Below are 19,670 nucleotides of genomic sequence, written 5' to 3'. Positions count from 1 at the left end.
TTTTAATTACCTGGGCATGGTGGTTAGTGCCTATAGTCCCAGGTGCTCGGGAGGTTGAGGCAGGAGGATCACTTGATCCCAGGAGATCGAGGCTGCAGTGAGTTGTGATTGCACCACTGCACTCTAGCCTGAGTGACAGAGTGAGACCCTGTCTTCCCTTGCTGTCCCCACCCACCTCCCCAAAATGCTCAAGCCTTGCAATATCATGCTTTGGAAACAGCACTGTCAGCGAATTAATCTCATTCTTTCTTAATTTGTTTGTTTATTTCCCATGACAAATTACCAGGGCTCATAGGTCTACAATTCAGGGTTTCCAGGGTTCCGCTTGCACCATAATTGTTATCATTCAAAAACATCTTGGAATGTGTATTCTCATTTTTTTTTCCAAAATTAGATACCTGCAGGCAACGATAGGCAAAGAGTCTCACACCTTATTTTGTTTGCCTTTCCTACTTCTACTTCTATACCCGTAGAAAGTGATATACTACCCATGATTGGTAGGGTTCATGGATCACAAATGCAGAATCTGAAAGGGAAGTTTTGACATTGCTGATTATGGGAGTTAAGATTAGAGACTACATGGGAGTTACATTTGTGTGTGAGGTTTCTCCCATGCCAATGCATGCTGCATTTGGAATCTCACAGGTGACCTAGGCAAGTTTTGCTCTAGACCTTTGGCTAGCTTTTCTTATTTTATTTCCTGCATTTTTGAGCAGGATTTTTTTTTTTTTACTAGTTTCGCCTTACTCTTCCATCTGTTTGGTAAAATCTAAAGGCAGAATAAAAGCTTAGGTTAAAGTAGTCAAAGAATGTCATTTATCCTATGTGGTTTCTGTCTATTAGGACTAAATCTAGCCTAGACAAATTGAGACCGCTGGCACTCAAGAATCTGTCAGTTCCCTTTTCCAGTTACATATTACAAATGTTAATTGGTACTCATTTGGGTCAAGACTTACAGTTTCATTCATCAAGTAAATCAGGCACCATTAACAAATATGTGATAAAATAGTATAATAATAGGCTCACCTGAGCTTATCAACATATGTTTTTGAGCCATTAATACATTTGTAACTTGAAATTAAAATATCCAAATGTAGTTTCCATGAGGAAATAAAATCAAAAATTTTCAAATCATCACAGACAAATTTGTTAAAGGTCACTGATGATGAATGATCTTATAACTCTTAGTTTTGGTGTAAATGTTAAAATTTTGAAAGAAACATTGCAAGACACAGCTGTGATGTGCAGCATCTCTCAGGGTTATTCATAATCCTGCTAACTGTAAAATGGTGACAGTGAACTTTCCATAATATTTTTCTATGCGTATATTTTTTCAGTATTTCATAAATGGCTTGTTACGTGTACAATTCTGAGTTATTTACATAAGATTTCTGTCCTTTTGGCTAAAATTACTACCATTGTGGTGATTATAGTTTCTGTAATCAGCAAGTAATCAGTAAGTAAACATTCTACTTTACTATAGTGTCAGTAGCTCAATTTTTTTTCCATTTGCAGGAAAGTAAATATTTTCAGTTTTGTATTCTTAAAGTTCCAACTAGACTGCTGTCAAGCTTACATATCTCAGGGAAGCAAACTTAACCTCAAATAAATGTAAAATGTACATTAAAAAATAAAATGTGTAGGGCCATTTAGATTTCAACATATGCAGTATAGTATTTTTCAATTTACTTTTTATTTTAATAAAACAACTTACATATGTACGTACTTTAAGGTGTCAAATGGTTCTATTAGTTTTGCTACAAAAACAGCCATTTCCTATGTTCTTTCCCAGCCCAGTTCCTGTTGCACAGATGCAACCACTTGCAACTATATTTCCTGATTCTTTTAAGATCTCTCTATATCTCTAAATAACATGGTTATACTACAGTGTCTTGATTTTTTTATTAATAGGCTTTATTTATTGGCTTCCCACTATGGAAGATGAGAATTTAGCTTTCATTTTCCAGCCCTTATCACACATATCTCCACTTTTGTGCTCTCATCGTCTTGAAATAGTGTATCATAATTTTGATCTAATGAATATTCATGTTTATTATATTATGACTAAATGATAGCATTTACAGCTCAGTCATGTACTCTACAAGGATTGTTTTATATTTCTTTCAATATTTTGTTTTCTCTAGCATTATTAAAGACATATTTTCACTTGCTTAGGTTTTTTTTTGACCTAACACTAATTCAGTGCCTCCCAGTTGCATGTGTCTCTTAATAGTTCAAATAATTTTATATAATTCATCAATTTTATTGTTTTCAAGAAATCTCTCCCAGAGCCCTCTGATAAAATCCCACCAACTGAAAGAACTGAGGGAGTTATCTTCTAACTCCAATACTATTGGTGGGTTCTGCAATGGGAACCTTCAAAAGCTTGCTTGTTATGTGCTCACGGCAGTCAAGGGCATCTGTAGACTAATGACTTACCCTTGAGAAAGCAAAAACAGCCTCTTCTGGTGGACTACTGGGGTATTAGCTGTCCACTCTTCAATGGCAGGGTGAGGAATGCAAGTCACATGTTGACCACATGTGGGCCATGCAAGAGGAAGGAATATTCAAGTATTATTTATCCAAGGGTCTATTGTAATCCAAAATATAGCTTGTATAACATGGTATGATAGATATTAGGGGAGGGTGTTTGTTTGCTTTATTTTAATTTTGTATAATTATTTTAAAGTAGCAGGTCTGAGAGATAATAATCCACCTGTCGCCTGCCTACTTCTAAGGCTGTATTACAAGTGGCAGCTCTGTTCCCACAATCCACAGGAAAAAGATTCATTACCTCAGGACAATTTGAATCTTAGGTAGTCAAAATAAAGATTGACCGAGTGATTTGCCCCTGCTCCCATCCCTCGTCTCTGTATCTCTACTGTATGTGGGGAAGATGGAAGAGTCACTTGACTACGTAAGAATGTTTTGTATAAGCATACCTGTGTTTCATTTCCAAAGGTCATTTTAACATTTACTTAGGGGGACTTGTTCTTTTCCCAACAGTGAGTGAAGCTTTGGCAGGACCATGTCTCTGAATGTCTCATTGGAAGGGTTTCATCACTGTCCCTGAAAGCCTCCTTCATCAAGATTTTTTGAATGTTGTATTTCCTGAGTTGACTCTGATTTTCTAATCTTTGCTTTTCTGATTTACATGTCTGTTTGGTTCTATATTCCGAGTAAGTAGCTTGCGTTTGTCTTCCAACTCTTCAAATTATTGTTGCATTTGTGCTTTATCATTAAATGCCAAGAATTCCTTTTATAATTGATGTACTTTTGAGCTGGTCAGTTTTTATTAAAAAAAAAATTTAGAAACTTCTGCTCAGATAATCTGTGCTTTAGATGATTATAACATGTCATTAATAATTTTCTGATTTTTATGCTTGTATTGGCCTTAAAGATAATGTCCATGTTATAGAAAATACAAATTGAGTGTTCAGGAATAAAGGCCTAACACATCTTCAATGTTCTATGAAATGGTTCAATAAAAAATAATATTCTGTTCTTACAACTTTTCTGTAAATTTGAAATTATTTTAAAGAAAAAAATAGACAGCAAAATAAATGTATACTTTACAGCAAGCAATGGGTCACAAGAAGCTGGGATCTGAAGTAAAATTTTTATTTTTGTGGGTTTTTGCTTCAGTAACTGAATTTCTATGAAATAGAAAGAGATAGAGAGTATTCTTAGTAGAGCTTTCTGGGAGTTGCTGTTTCTTTGTGTTTTATTATTTCATGGTGTGTTAAAAAATGTAAAGGAGGTAGGAGTATAGAGAACCTCCTCTATTAGTCATTTGAATATGAAAGTTGGAGTTAATCACCACTATTGGGTTAAAGCATCAGCTTTTTTATTTGAAATGCATGGGAAGCCCTAGCCTATACTAGTTTCCAGTAAGGTATAGATACTAATACATGTTTGCTGAATTAATGAATATTTTATATAAAACCCTTAGCACAGTATCTTATTCCTTCAAAATATTAAATAATGGTAGATGATAGTGTTATTATTAAAAGATAATGACAACATGCTCAAGTTATTAGTAAATATGCTCTATAATGAGATGCTTAATTGGATTAGAAAATCTGATTTAATATATGAAGTTGAATCATGATTTTTTTCAATTAATTAACTTATAAAATGAAGTAGGCAGTAACTCAACTATAATCTTTGTGGCAATGACTTTTCCTTATTCAATTGTTTTCCATCCTAGCACCTAGGATTGTACCTGGCATATGAAAGATACTCAGTAGATATTTATTCAATGAAGAATTGCAATGTAAAGGGGTGTGTGCATGTGTGTATGTGAGCACACATACATGTGTGTGCAGTACTTATCTAGCCAGGAGGAGACAAAGCCTGGGAAAAAGTCTTATAAGCTCCTTTTAGTCCACTAATCTGAAGTCATATCTTTAACTGAAAGATATTATTAAACTACTTGAACATTTTAAGTGTCTTTTATGGTCACTAGGCACCCAGAACCCCACCTGATCAATATTGTTGGTATTAATAGATGACCAAAGAGAATTTAAATCATTTTACTAGGATTTGAATAATCCAAAACAAACAAAGTCACTGAAAATAAGGTGTTTAGATCCTCTAGATTATTACCAGGCAATATGTGATTCTCCTTTATTTGGGGTGTTTATTTTGGAAATTATTGATACACAGGGGTTTGCAGATTCCAGACAGTGTTGTTGACAATGTCCTTCATGACCAACAAAAGCGATGGACTTGCCGCTGTTGAGCTCTGAGAAGATCAGAGAGCCCAAGATGAGGTTCCAGCCACACCCTTATGTGTTCTGTTGAGTATACAGGCTAGACTGAACAAAGGAAGCAGCAGACAAGTCTGTTGATCCCACAGGGTAATATTTCACTTGCCATTAGTTTCATTTCCTTCTTTTAAAATTACTATTCATTTATTTGTTTGTTTTCTCTTTCTAAAATATCTCCAAGGCTAGAGAGAACCCAAAGTAATTAAATTAATAACTAATCATTTTATTTTTCATTATTTTATCTGAATTGAATTTGTTAGAATATTCCTGCTAAGCAATTAGCACTGACAGTTGGCTTTACTCCTTTCACTTGGACACATTGTGTAAAAGCTTTTCTGAAAAGACTTGGTTGTGGTTGATTGTTCACAGTTTTAAGGACAGAATTATTTAGCTGGATTGTTTAGGACTAGGGCAAATTATAGGTTTGAGAATACTGTCCATTTATGACAGTTCTTTATGGTACCTTGTGATATACTTCACTAAAGACATTTTAGTTTTTCTATAAAATATTCATTTTGATAAAATAACATATCAGCTTTTCAAATTTCCAGTTATGTGTATGATAATCAGTAAATCTCATAACCTCCATTTTTGCATATTTGCTTTTATTTTTGCATGAAGATAAGCAGACTATAAAATAAATATGAATCCATATTCTTGCAGTATAACAGGAGGGGGTCCTGCTATCATGAACTATTTTCTCTCTTGATTTCATTTTTTGTATACATTTTTTTCCAGCATTTTAACATGTCTCTTCTCAACTCATATTGATACTAAACAAATAAATAAAAAGCTATGTCAAAGTTCTTTTTTCCATAAGGAAAAAGAATACCTAAAAATAAATGCATAAACCGAACACTAGATTTTGCTGTAGCTATTTTTCAAAATGAAGTAGTTATACTAACTTAATGGCTTTAATAAACTAGTTTTTTGGAGGGTTGTTTCTACATTTAATCATAGAATCTAGTCTGAGTTCTCCCCACTTGAAAAATACCAATCCTCTTGACTCCCATTTTTCTCTTTATAGAGACATTTGATGCTTTTGAAATGAAATACAAGCATTTTTTAAATAGAGGAAAGCCTGTCTATTCATTCAGAAAGTCTGAGTGACAGGGAGAGGCTAATACACTTTTCCAGGCTATCTACCTGAGTCTAATTTCACAAGCCATCAACACTTTGAAAGGGGAAATTAATTTGAATGTCTGTCTTATTCTAGAAAGTGGGATGAAGTATTGATAAATATTGTTGGGTTGCCTTATAAAAGATATTGGTGAAAAATGCATTCATATTGTTATTTTAAAGGAAGAATATCTAGGGAAAGGTGGCAATTTCTTACAATATTTATAAACAATTTAAACTTTTTTCCAACTGTCCTTGAGAAATTACTAAGCCACATTTCTCAAAGCAACATGGTTATACAGAGAGCTCTTTAAAGAACAAAGAGATAAATTAGAATATGTACAAAATATGGAATGAGAAACATGTAACTAAGGTTAAGTATAGAGAGGTACATAATTGTAAAATTAATGTCAGTGATGCTAACACACAGAAAGCTATGCTCTTCCTTGGGTACAATTTCCAAGACCGTAAGCTAGACTCTTAAATATATCCACCAAATAAAAGGAACTTCTCAATGTGTAGTGATTAGTCAATAAATGATAAAGATAAAATATAAACTGTGAAAATAAATTTTGCTTCTTTTTCTATTCTATTTTTTAAGAATAATAAGACTATTATGAGATAGGCAGACATTAAGATGTTTACATCAGAAGCAACAAATGTAGATTTGGTCTAGGAGTTAAAGAAATCAAATGGTGAAGTCAGGAATCAGTTAATGAGAGATTAACAGGGATCTGTTCTAAACAGACCAATTTCTATTTGAAAATAGTTATAATAAGAAGAGTAATAATAATAATAGTAACATTGACATATTATTAAAAACTAATAACAGCTTGTGAACACATAGACAATTAGAATTGGAACCACAATGTTAAATTATCTGCCAGTCTCCAACACCATGTCAACAATGATGGCAGAGAAGGCAAAACTTGGAGCAGGCTCAGTGATTTGCTTGGGCCAGAGAAACCTCAATGCTTGGCCAGAGGCTGGCACCTCCTCCTCAGGGCAGTCTCTTGTTTTTATATTCATGCCCTTTATAACGACCTGTTTTAACATTTCTGGTGGCCAACCTTCTAGGGCATGACTGGGTTAGGAGAATGCCTAGATTGCCAATGATATGATCTGTTCCTGAGGAAAATAGGTCTCATAGTTAATATGGTAAAAATAAATAAATACATATAGTTCATCTTTGTGCCACAAAAATTATAAATTGTTATGGTTCCTCATAAGCTAAACATAAAAACAATAATGAGAAAAACAAAGCTATATTACTCTTTCAGAAGGCAGGACATTTTTAAAATAAATATCTGAAAATTATAAGTTGGTATCTGAAAATTATGAGTTTCTGAAACTAAACAACTACAAGTTCCAGATATTGTGCCCTAGACATTAAAAAGATATTTCTGGGTCATCTTTATAATCAATGATTACTTTTGCTGTTGAAATAAAATTAATATTATTAAGTATTGTATTAGTTCATCTTCACACTGCTATAAAGAAAGAAAGAGGTTTAATTGACTCACAGTTCCACATGGCTGTAGGGGCCTCAGGAAACTTACAATCGTGGCAGAAGGGGAAGCAGGTGCGTCTTACATGGCAGCAGGTGAGCAAAAGTAAATGTGTGTAGGAGGAAATGTCAAACACTTATAAAACCATTAGACCTTGTAAGAACTCACTCACTATCAGAGAACAGCATGAGGAAAACTGCCCACATGGTCCAATCACCTCCCACCAGGACCTGCCCTTGACACGTGGGGATTATGGGGATTACAGTTTGAGATTAGATTTGGGTAGGGACACAGCTAAACCATATCAAATATGAAGATTGTTTCCTTTACATTCATGTTTTTGGTGATACAGTTCTCCCTTGCTTTATTTTCCAATTGAGGAATCCACAGGAAAGCAGGTTCTGATAGAACGTTCATATTGTACTGCTGAGTGCTATGTCCCAATTGGACCATTGTTAATAAATAAGATGCCTAACATTATGCAGAGCTTGTTTGGCTCATTAATCTTAATAAGGATAGTTAACTACCCCTCCATCATGTACCAAATTCTAGATAATATTCAAAATTCACCAACATTGACTCATTTAATCCTCACATCAACCTTAGAAAGCTTCATTATCATCCCTATTTTAAATATGATAAAACCGAAGTGCAGAGATATTAATAACTTGCCTGATATTTCAAGATAACACAGCTATTAAATAGCAGAGTTATGATTCAAATCTGGGCATTCTGGCTCCAAGATCTGTACTATTAATCATTACTCTATAGTTTGTCTGGTAAAGTAAATCAGTTTTATTATAATCTAAGTTTAAAGACAAATGCAATTGACTATTTTCAATATTTTTTTCATATTAAAAGATCTGGAAGTCATAGCAAAGACTCTATATGCCACATAAATATTGTGTTAAATAATCTAAAATGTATAATCAAATGCATCCTCCTAGTGAGGAAAAAAGCAAATTTTAAATGTTTTTGCCTGAAATTTTCTGTATCTTTAAAAATGTCAACTGATGGTCTATGAGACTGCTAGTTAGAAGTAAGTGTACTTATTTCTGAAACACTTTGCTTTTGCAATGACTTTCAAGGAGGTTCAAGAAAAGTAAATGTCTGAAAATGGCACAATTTTTATAAAGAATGCTTGATTTTGGATATGTGAGATTTCCCTGAAACCTGATAAAGTCACAAATTCAGCAGTTTTTCTCTAATTGGTTTGGATGGGAGGGTTATCAGAAATTTCTTTATTCTGTAGAAGCTTTAAAAATGCAAACTAGTTACAAACTTCCCTTTGTAAGAGGCAAGCACCATATAATCTCAGATGCTAGTGGCAAGTCCAAATCAGACAGAAAGAAGAAAATGCATGAGATTGAATGAAGAAAAAGCCAGAAATATATTTTCAGGATTAGCAGCAGTCTATTGCCTCTTTTCCTCAAACCAGCTCCCTCCCCACCATTGTCATAGACTGGAAGGCAACAATCAATCTGTCCAACAATTGATCCCTCATACTTTGGAATTGGCATGGCAGTTTTCCCATTAGTTGTTTTTATACTGTCACATAAATAGAAATATATCTTCTGTGGCTTTATTGATGCAAATGCTCAATATTTTAAATATATGAAAGAAAGCAAAGGAATAAAATGTAGCTGTCTATAAATTCACAGGTAAAAATATTTACAGAAAGTCAGAAATCCAGACTTTTTTTTTACTTTTATGTTATGACTGAATTGAGAGCCTGATTCTTTTGGAAGGCTGGTTTAGTTATGAATAGAAGGAACTGGCTTCTGCCAGAAAGGAGAAGAGGCTATGATTAGTTTAATCTGCGGGAATAAATTTGTCTCCCTTCTCACTAATATCTTATTTGTTGGCTAACTATCACCTTGAATTTGCTACCATAAGAGATTTTCTCCAGAAAATGACTGGCAACATGTAAATATGTTATCAAATATTCTAAGGACACCGATAATCTCACTAGCAAACAATGCTAACTTTTAATATATGTCCCTTCTGTTTCTAAATACATAGTCAGTTCTTTAACCAAATAAGGCACTTGCACCTACACTCTTATTTCATTTTTCTATTTTTCAGAATGTTTTTTATTTTGATTCTGCGAATGCTCATATTTGCATGACATGATTTGACAAGGCACAAAAGAGAGTGCTTCCCTCCAGAGAAGGTTTGCTTACTGTTCAGTATAATTTGGATAGTGTTTCTTTTTTTTTAGTTTTATTATTATTATACCGTAAGTTTTAGGGTACATGTGCACAATGTGCAGGTTTGTTACATATGTATACGTGTGCCATGTTGGTGTGCTGCACCCATTAACTCATCATTTAGCATTAGGTATATCTCCTAATGCTATCCCTCCCCCCTCCCCCCACCCCACAACAGTCCCTGGAGTGTGATGTTCCCCTTCCTGTGTCCATGTGTTCTCATTGTTCAATTCCCACCTATGAGTGAGAACATGCAGTGTTTGGTTTTTTGTCCTTGCGATAGTTTGCTGAGAATGATGGCTTCCAGCTTCATCCATGTCCCTACAAAGGACATGAACTCATCATTTTTTATGGCTGCATAGTATTCCATGGGGTATATGTGCCACATTTTCTTAATCCAGTCTATCGTTGTTGGACATTTGGGTTGGTTCCAAGTCTTTGCTATTGTGAATAGTGCCACAATAAACATATGTGTGCATGTGTCCTTATGGCAGCATGATTTATAATCCTTTGGGTATATACCCAGTAATGGGATGGCTGGGTCAAATGGTATTTCTAGTTCTGGATCCCTGAGGAATCGCCACACTGACTTCCACAATGGTTGAACTAGTTTATAGTCCCAGCAACAGTGTAAAAGTGTTCCTATTTCTCCACATCCTTTCCAGCACCTGTTGTTTCCTGACTTTTTAATGATTGCCATTCTAACTGGTGTGAGATGGTATCTCATTGTGGTTTTGATTTGCATTTCTCTGATGGCCAGTGATGATGAGCATTTTTTCATGTGTTTTTTGGCTGCATAAATGTCTTCTTTTGAGAAGTGTCTGTTCATGTCCTTTGCCCACTTTTTGACGGGGTTGTATGTTTTTTTCTTGTAAATTTGTTTGAGTTCATTGTAGATTCTGGATATTAGCCCTTTGTCAGATGAGTAGGTTGCGAAAATTTTCTCCCATTTTGTAGGTTGCCTGTTCACTCTGATGGTAGTTTCTTTTGCTGTGCAGAGGCTCTTTAGTTTAATTAGACCCCATTTGTCAATTTTGGCTTCTGTTGCCATTGCTTTTGGTGTTTTAAACATGAAGTCCTTGCCCATGTCTATGTCCTGAATGGTATTGCCTAGGTTTTCTTCTAGGGTTTTTATGGTTTTAGGTCTAACATGTAAGTCTTTAATCCATCTTGAATTAATTTTTGTATGAGGTGTAAGGAAGGGATCCAGTTTCAGCTTTCTCCATAAGGCTAGCCAGTTTTCCCAGCACCATTTATTAAATAGGGAATCGTTTCCCCATTTCTTGTTTTTGTCAGGTTTGTCAAAGATCAGATGGTTGTAGATATGCAGCATTATTTCTGAGAGGCCAACATCATCCTGATACCAAAGCCTGGCAGAGACACAACCAAAAAAGAGAATTTTAGGCCAATATCCTTGATGAACATTGATGCAAAAATCCTCAATAAAATACTGGCAAACCGAATCCAGCAGCACATCAAAAAGCTTATCCACCATGATCAAGTGGGCTTCATACCTGGGATGCAAGGCTGGTTCAACATACACAAATCAATAAATGTAATCCAGCATATAAACAGAAACAAAGACAAAAACCACACGATTATCTCAATAGATGCAGAAAAGGCCTTTGACAAAATTCAACAACCATTCATGCTAAAAACTCTCAATAAATCAGGTATTGATGGGACGTATCTCAAAATAATAAGAGCTATTTATGACAAACCCACAGCCAATATCATACTGAATGGGCAAAAACTAGAAGCATTCCCTTTGAAAACTGGCACAAGACAGGGATGCCCTCTCTCACCACTCCTATTCAACATACTGTTGGAAGTTCTGGCCAGGGCAATCAGGCAGGAGAAAGAAATAAAGGGTATTCAATTAGGAAAAAAGGAAGTCAAATTGTCCCTGTTTGAAGATGACATGATTGTATATTTAGAAAACCCCATCGTCTCAGCCCAAAATCTCCTTAAGCTGATAAGCAAATTCAGCAGTCTCAGGATACAAAATCAATGTGTAAAAATCACAAGCATTCCTATACCCCAATAACCAACAAACGGGGAGCGAAATCATCAGTGAACCCCCATTCACAATTGTGTTAAAGAGACTAAAATACCTAGGAATCCAACTAACAAGGGATGTGAAGGACCTCTTCAAGGAGAACTACAAACCACTGCTCAATGAGATAAAAGAGGTTACAAACAAATGGAAGAACATTCCATGCTCATGGGTAGGAAGAATCAATATTGTGAAAATGGCCATACTGCCCAAGGTAATTTATAGATTCAATGCCATCCCCATCAAGCTACCAATGACTTTCTTCACAGAATTGGAAAAAACTACTTTAAAGTTCATATGGAACCAAAAAAAGAGCCCGCATCACCAAGTCAATCCTAAGCCAAAAGAACAAAGCCGGAGGCATCACGCTACCTGACTTCAAACTATACTACAAGGCTACAGTAACCAAAACAGCATGGTACTGGTACCAAAACAGAGATATAGATCAATGGATAGTGTTTCTATCTGGAGCAAAGCTTATCCCTGTTTACTTGTAGGCAATTACGAAATATTTGGATTCCCTAAACTCTGAGTTCCTGAAGTATGCTACAAAGCTATTGCTCATGCAGCATCCACCTGGGACTCATCATGTCATCTTCTTGAAATTTGGAAGATAAAGGAAACTGACCCAAACATGAAGGTTGTGCTTGCTTTTGTCTTTATTGAAGCAAGCAAAAGTGTCTCTTCTTGACTGCAAACCATGAGAATTTTACTTTATTCCATAAAGTTAAGGCTTTTCTATTCTCAGAAGAAACCAAGTTTGGCTATTAAGCTATGATCTGTATGGACAATGCCCTGCTACAATAGGACTTGAGTTTTCTATCTGAATGAATCAAGTTACATGATACAAAATCACCTCCCAGGAGTGTCCAAGTGAGAGAAAAAACTCATGGGTTCTTGGTTTCTGTTTCTGGTTGGGCCAGTAAGGCCCTTTCCTCATCCTCTTTTCCACTTATCACTAGAGGCAGAAACTAAAAACCATGGCTTCAGTATGCTAAAAGCCTAAAACAAAACAAAGCAGAACAACAATAAAATAAAGTGTGTTGGACAAGCTTCCTACACTATAGTTTGTCTTGCATAATCATAATCAAAGTCCAAACCCAATTTCCTTTGCACGTTGAATTTTTTTTTTTGAGTCACCTAAGGGGAACAGAACTGAGCCAATGACTACTAAGCATTGATTTTGAAGTCTTCTCATAGTACTAAACTGCAATCAGATATGAATTTCACTAGTTTTCGCTTGAATTTAATAAATTTGTTGAGAATATGCTCTATACTGGAGTATAAACTCTATTGTTATTTTCAGTGAACTCGGAGTCTCTTTAGGAGTAACTTAAACAGCATTCAACACACTGGTTTTATTTTATTTATTTATTTTTATTTTAAAAGTCTAAGAAAATGCTGCAGTATCACAGAAGATGCCTAATGAATTATGCATATTTTTGACTGGGAATGATAGTTTGGGTTAGATTTTTGGTAAGAAAGGGGAAAGTCAGGCCAAGAGAATAACCACAAACATATTGGGTTGGTGCAAAAGTAATTGCAGTTTTCATGGCAAAACCACAATTACTTCTTCACCAGCCTAGTAAAAGCAAAGCTATGGAAATTCTCACCCAATTGGAAAATGGTACAGTCTGTACAGCATATGTTTCATAAAGGAAGAGTGGGAGTATAAGACCTAAATGTATATTCAATCTGGATTCGGTAGGCCTTGTATATCATGCCAATGAGTTTTACTGTTACACTGTGGTTAGTGGAAAATTCTTGATGGATTTAAATCAGATTAATGACAAGATTGGTTGTGTGTCAGAGATTATTTTTACAACAGTGTATAGAGCTGACTGAAGGAGGGTATTGTAAAGACTCTGAAAAGAAGCCACTGGGAGAGAGATAACATGCTATGTGTGCTCCTAACATAAAAGACAGCAAGTGCAAAAAATCCTGATAAATGACCTTATCATGTTCAGGTAACAGGGAGAAAGAAGTTCCATATAAATAGAGATAATGGGGGTGGGTGAAGAAAGTATAATAAGAAATAAGGTCTGCGAAATGGGCTAAGATCATATGGGGCTTTCTAGAGCAAAATAAAACTTTTTTATTATTTTATTTTTTTATTATTTTTATTATTTTTTAAAAGATTATTTTCTATGTGGGAGAGAAAGCCACGGGAAGGGTCAGTTCAGGAAATCACATGATGTGATTGATATTTATGAAATACCGTTCTTGCTGTTTTGTGCATAGGAGACAAGAAATCAAACCATGGGTCATTAACAAGTTATTAATTATAGGAATCTGACAGGGCAAGTGAAGCAGATGGGCCAGAAAACTGGAAAGCACATGTTTCATCTGAGAGGATCCGGTACTATTCTCTTACAGCCATTGCTGTCATGGGGACTGTGGTAGTATGGCCTCATCTTCAAATATTTCAAGAACAGTTAGGAATATGAACACAGACTGAATTTGAAAGCTATTGGTTTTTTTTTTATACTGGCAGGTCAACCAAAACACATTTGCGGGCAAGATTGAACGTGTGACTTTCAAATTAGACATCACTGCATTAGATGACTAGGCCAGCTGCCCATCTTATTTATGATGTGTCCCCCTATGCAAGAGAAAGCAAAGCCTTCAGGTACACACCAGCCTGCAAATCTCAGCAGATACCATCTCAATTATAAAAAAGGGACAAATAACATTTAAGCTAAAAAAAAGAGGTTAAATCTTAATACTTTCTCTCCCTAAGGGAAATAACTCACCCTCTCTCTGCAAAACTTCCACATTTTATAGAGAAAGTGTTATGAGAATAGAGTGGCTTTTGTTAAGCTAAAATTGCACTTTGTTAAATTATAATATACCAATAAAGACATTCAAATTAAAAAACAAAATAAATTATAAAAGAAACCCCAAGAAAATGAAAGATAAGTATTAGTACAAGGAGAGCCTTATTTGGATGAAGCACTGGCTATCTCTATGTTCTGTTTTATATAAACATCCTTGGAAAGATTTTTCTGGAACAAAAGGCTAGTTCATGCCTCTGCTCTCAAGAGATACAGAAATGCTAAAGAGCGATGAAGAATTATTTCACAAATATACATAATCAGTAAATATTTGTTTAATCAATGGAGTATTGAAAGGGAATTCTTTAACCCTGATATAGTCATAGTGACTACCTTTGTGTTCTTAATGCTTCAAATACAGGCTGAATATGGCTGGAATACTGCCCAAATGAACTGACCATTTTCCCAGTACTTTCGTAAGTAATTTACAAATCATAAATTTTATCCTAGCAATATATATATATATATACACACATATATATACACATCACTCTTAAAATACTCTCAGTGATTTATCGAATAGTCTGCTCAAGTCTAGCCTGAAGTCAACCTACTTGGATTCTTATGTTGTAAACTCTTTCCAAGGGTTCTCTCTGGGTTGCAGAATCCCATAACATGGGGATACTTATGATTTCTTTTCTCCAAAGAGGAACTACTGTCCCATAAGTTTTAACTAATGTGGCTTGAGGTCTGACTACTCTCAAAGTTTTATGATTGTATTACTTTAAAAGCAAGATAAATAAAAGAAATATTCAAGACACAAGGCAGAGACAATGTATTACAGAGATATTTAGTCTTCAGATGTATATGAGGAAGGACTTAAGGACCACAGTGATCCACCACATTTCTAAAATGTGCATCATTTAAATGGCAATATATTTTATATACATGCAAATAAAATATTTTAAGGCTTAGGAATCAGGTGTATTTGCCCAAAAGGCTTTATAGGGATATCCAATAATTTGAATTGACCTTTTTTGTTATGCAAGTGATTAATAAGTCTATATGTTAAAACATGAGTCAAGGCACTACTTCTGTTCAGTTCTATGAGCTGCTGTTGCTGAGTAGAATTCCCATTGTGACATAATGACTTTAAAAGTTTAAATGATGGACTCATTGACCCCTTCTTCCCCAGTCACTCCTCATTGTAAAAAAAAAATGCTTTCATAAAAAAGCAAATAGTAGGTATAGACAAAAGAAAAGTGACTCCATTGTTATAAACCACTGATATGTGAACCAAATTTAAAACTTTTTATATGTCTTGGATACAATATAAGAAAATGTGCACTATAAATCTTATTCTAATGACTTCTGGTGAGATTTATAAAACTGTTTTTCCTCCAGACAAGTAAAAAGTGCTGAAATACACTTTTTATATACTTTAATCTTTATATTTTTATAGCTGGTTTAAATATAAAAAGTAGAAGCCAAGGTGGGGGCAGGATGGCTGACTAGATGCAGCCAGGTGGAACAGCTCACACTGAGGGAATGAGACGACTTGCATGCTCCTGACAGATCTTCAGAGAGAAGGCACTAAAAGTGGATGGAGAGAAGACACAGAGGCTGGGCTGAAGGGGGAGGAAGCTGGGAGCCCTGCACAGGGCTACTGCACACTGGGACCTGCTCCTGGTTCAGCTCTGGAGGAAAGGGTGAGTTGAACTGGGAAGGAGCAACTTGCTCTTTCCTGAGGCCTCTGAAACACCACCAAGAGGAGACCCCTTGATCACTATGGACACTTGAGTTGGCAGGGAGAGCTGCTTAGAGAAGTGGTAGGGGCAACAAGCCAGCTCATGTAGAGCCAAGAGGGTCTGGTGCAGGAGCTTCTGTAGTGGAGCATGGCCAGGGTCACACATCCCCTTCAACTCAACTTGCTCCCACAAGACACTTTAGCCCAAGGGAACTGTTGGACCTGATCTCTGCAGGGTAGTTTTGCCCATCAGATGGGAGTAGTTTGACCTGAGTAGGCCTTGGTGTCCTGGTCTCTCCTGGGACCCCAGCCTGGCCATGCCTGCTTGTAGGGCAGTGTTGGGTGCCCTGAGGGCCTGCACCATAGCTTCTGGCTGGCAGACCTTGCCCAACCAGCAGAGAGCTCCAGCGAGCTGGCCCCTTTGGCTGTGTACCAGCCTGGCAACTTTTCCCCATACTGCTGCTTATTCCAGGCCCATAGCAACTCCTCACATCACTTTGCTGGCATCTGTCTACATAGGTGGGTTTTGATTTCCTCACCAGCATGCAGGAGTACAGTCCCGTTCTCTCTCCCCACTAACCACCATTGCATATAGAGCCTTGGCAGACACAGAGTCAACCAGCCCTTCCCCTGCAGGCAACTTGCCCTTGTGCTAACACTGTGCAGAGAACAGCAGATCCTCCCCCACACTGAGTGACCACTCCTGCTTGCAGAACAAAGAGAAGGTACACAGACCTGCACCTGCCAGCACTTTGCTCCAGAGCCAATACCACCTCCAGTGTGATCACATGCACAGTCACCAGCAGACCACCCTCCCAAGCTATAAGGCTTCCACCACTGTGGTGAATGCTGGAAGGAGCAGGCACCCAGGCTCTGCTAGCACTCTCCTGATGCATTTCAGTCCCTCCAGTGCAGTAGAGTCCTAAACTTGAGGAGACAGAGAACAAAAGTGGTGCCCAATCCAAGTCCCCAAGAGTTAGAGCATGCAGTCCAGGATTTGGAAACTGAGAATTGTCCCCCTAAAATCTTCCAAAAACAAAGCCAGATGGCTGAATGCACCTTATACCATGACCAAACCCTCAAAGTTAATAGGACAAAAGGGGAATCAAAACAATCCGAAGGTCAGAAACCTCAAAGCTTGAAGGCAGATAATCCCACAAAGGTGAGAAAGAATCAGCACAAGGACCCTGAAAACTCAAAAAGCCAGAGTGCCTTTTTTTCTCCAAATGACTGCATCAATTCTCCAGCAAGGGTTCTGAACAGATATGAGATGACTGAAATGACAGAAATAGAATTCAGAATATGGATAGGAAAGAAGATAATTGAGCCACAGGAGGATGTTGAAGCTCAATCCAAGAAAGCTAAATATTATGATAAAAAATGCAGGAACTGACACACAAAATAACCACTATAGAAAAGAATGTAACTGACTTAATAGAAAAACACATTACAAGTATTTCATAATGCAATCACAAGTATTAATAGCAGAATAGACCAAATGGAGGAAGGAACCTAGAGCTTGAAGACTGGCTTTCTGAAATACAAGAGTCAAATAAAATAATGCAAAGGAATGAACCAAAGCTCTAAAAAATATGGAATTATGCAGAGGCCAAATCTATGACTCATTTATGTCCCTAAAAGAGATGGGATGATTGAACTAATATGGAAACTATATTCTAAGATATCATCCATGAGAACTTCCCCAACCTAGATAGAGGGACCAATATTCAAATTCATGAAATGAAGAGAACCCCAGTAAGATACTTGATGAGAATGTCATCCCAAGACACATAATCATCAGATTATCCAAGGTCGAAATGAAGGAAAAAATGTTAAAGGCAGCTAGAGAGAGAGGTTAGATTATGTTCAAAGGGAAGACAATTAGACTAACAGCAGACCTCTCAACAGAAACCCTACAGACTAGAAGAGATTGGGGGCCAATATTCAACCTTCTCAAAGAAGATAATTTCCAACCCAAAATTTCTTATCTGGCCAAAGCTTTATAAGCAAAGGATAAATAAGATTCTTTACAGACAAGCAAAAGCTGGGGAAATTTGTTACCACCAGGCCTGCCTTGCAAGAGCTCCTGAAGGAAGCATGAAATATGGAAAGCAAAAAACATTACCAGCCATGACAAAAACACACTGAAGTACACAGAACAGGGACACTATAAAGCAACCACATAAGCAAGCCTGCGAAACATCATAATAACAGAATCACATCCACACGTCAATACTAACTTTAAATGTAAATGGGATAAATGCCCAAATTAAAAGGCACAGAGTGGAAAGCTGGATAAAGAACCAAAACCCAATGGTATGCCATCTTCAAGAGACCCATCTCACATGCAATGACACACACAGTCTCAAAATAATGGAATGGAGATAATTTACCAAGCAAATGGAAAACACACACAAAAAAAGCAGGGTTTGCAATCCTAAGTTCAGACACAACAGACTTAAACCAACAAATACCAAAAAAGACAAAAAGGGGTATTATATAAATGTAAATGGTTCAATTCAACAAGAAGATCTAACTATCCTAAATATATATGCACCCAACACAAGAGCAACCCAGATTCATAAAACAAGTTCTTAGAAAACTTCAAAGAGACTTAGACTCCCACACAGTAATAGTTGGAAACTTTAACACCCCACTGACAATATTAAACAGATCATCATGAAAGAAAATTAACAAAGATTTACAGGACATTAATTCAGCACAAGATCAAACGGCCCTTAGAGATATCTACAGAACTCTCCACCAAAAAACAACAGAGTATACATTATTCTTATTGCCACGTGACATGTACTCTAAAATTGATAACATAATCAGAAATAAAACACTCCTCAGCAAATGCAAAAAAACTGAAATCATAATAAACAATCCCTCTGACCACAGCATAATCAAATTAGAAATCAAGACTAAGAAATTTACTCAAAACCATACAATTACATGGAAATCAAGTAACCTCCAGAATGACATTTAGGTAAATAATGAAATTAAGGCAAGAATCAAGTAGTTCTTTGAAACTAATGAGAACAAAGATACAACACGCTGGAATCTCTGGGACACAGCTAATGCAGTGTTAACAGGGAAATTTGTAGCACTAAATGCCCACATTAACAAGTTAGAAAGGTCTCAAGTTAACAACCTAACTTCACAACTAAGAGAACTAGACAACCAAGAAAAAATAAATCCCAACGATAGGAGAAGACAAGAAATAGCCAAAATCAGAGCTGAACTGAAGGAGATTGAGTCACTAAATAAAGAATCAAAAGATCAACAAATCCAGGAGCTGTTTCTCTGAAAAAATAAAATAGACTGCTAGCTAGACTAATACAGGAGAGAAGACTCAATAAACACAATCAGAAATGACAAGTAGGGTATTACCACTGACCCCACCGAAATACAAATAATAATCAGAGTATATTATAAACACCTCTATGCACATAAAATATAAATTCTAGAAGAAATGGATAAA

General features: G+C 36.2%; 1 long non-coding RNA gene across 1 annotated transcript in view; it reads left to right on the top strand.

Annotated features, from left to right (window-relative positions):
- Nucleotides 1-19,670, top strand: part of LOC105378313 (uncharacterized) — an 85,058-nt gene that overhangs the window by 39,462 nt on the left and 25,926 nt on the right. Inside the window, exons 3-4 of the long non-coding RNA XR_001747453.1 lie at nt 14,861-14,915; nt 16,015-16,148. This is a non-coding gene — a long non-coding RNA (uncharacterized LOC105378313). The remainder of the gene's footprint in view (nt 1-14,860; nt 14,916-16,014; nt 16,149-19,670) is intronic.

The sequence above is a fragment of the Homo sapiens genome, chromosome 10 (genome assembly GCF_000001405.40).
Source record: "Homo sapiens chromosome 10, GRCh38.p14 Primary Assembly".
Classification (NCBI taxonomy): Eukaryota; Metazoa; Chordata; class Mammalia; order Primates; family Hominidae; genus Homo; species Homo sapiens.
This window is presented reverse-complemented; position numbering and strand designations above follow the sequence as displayed.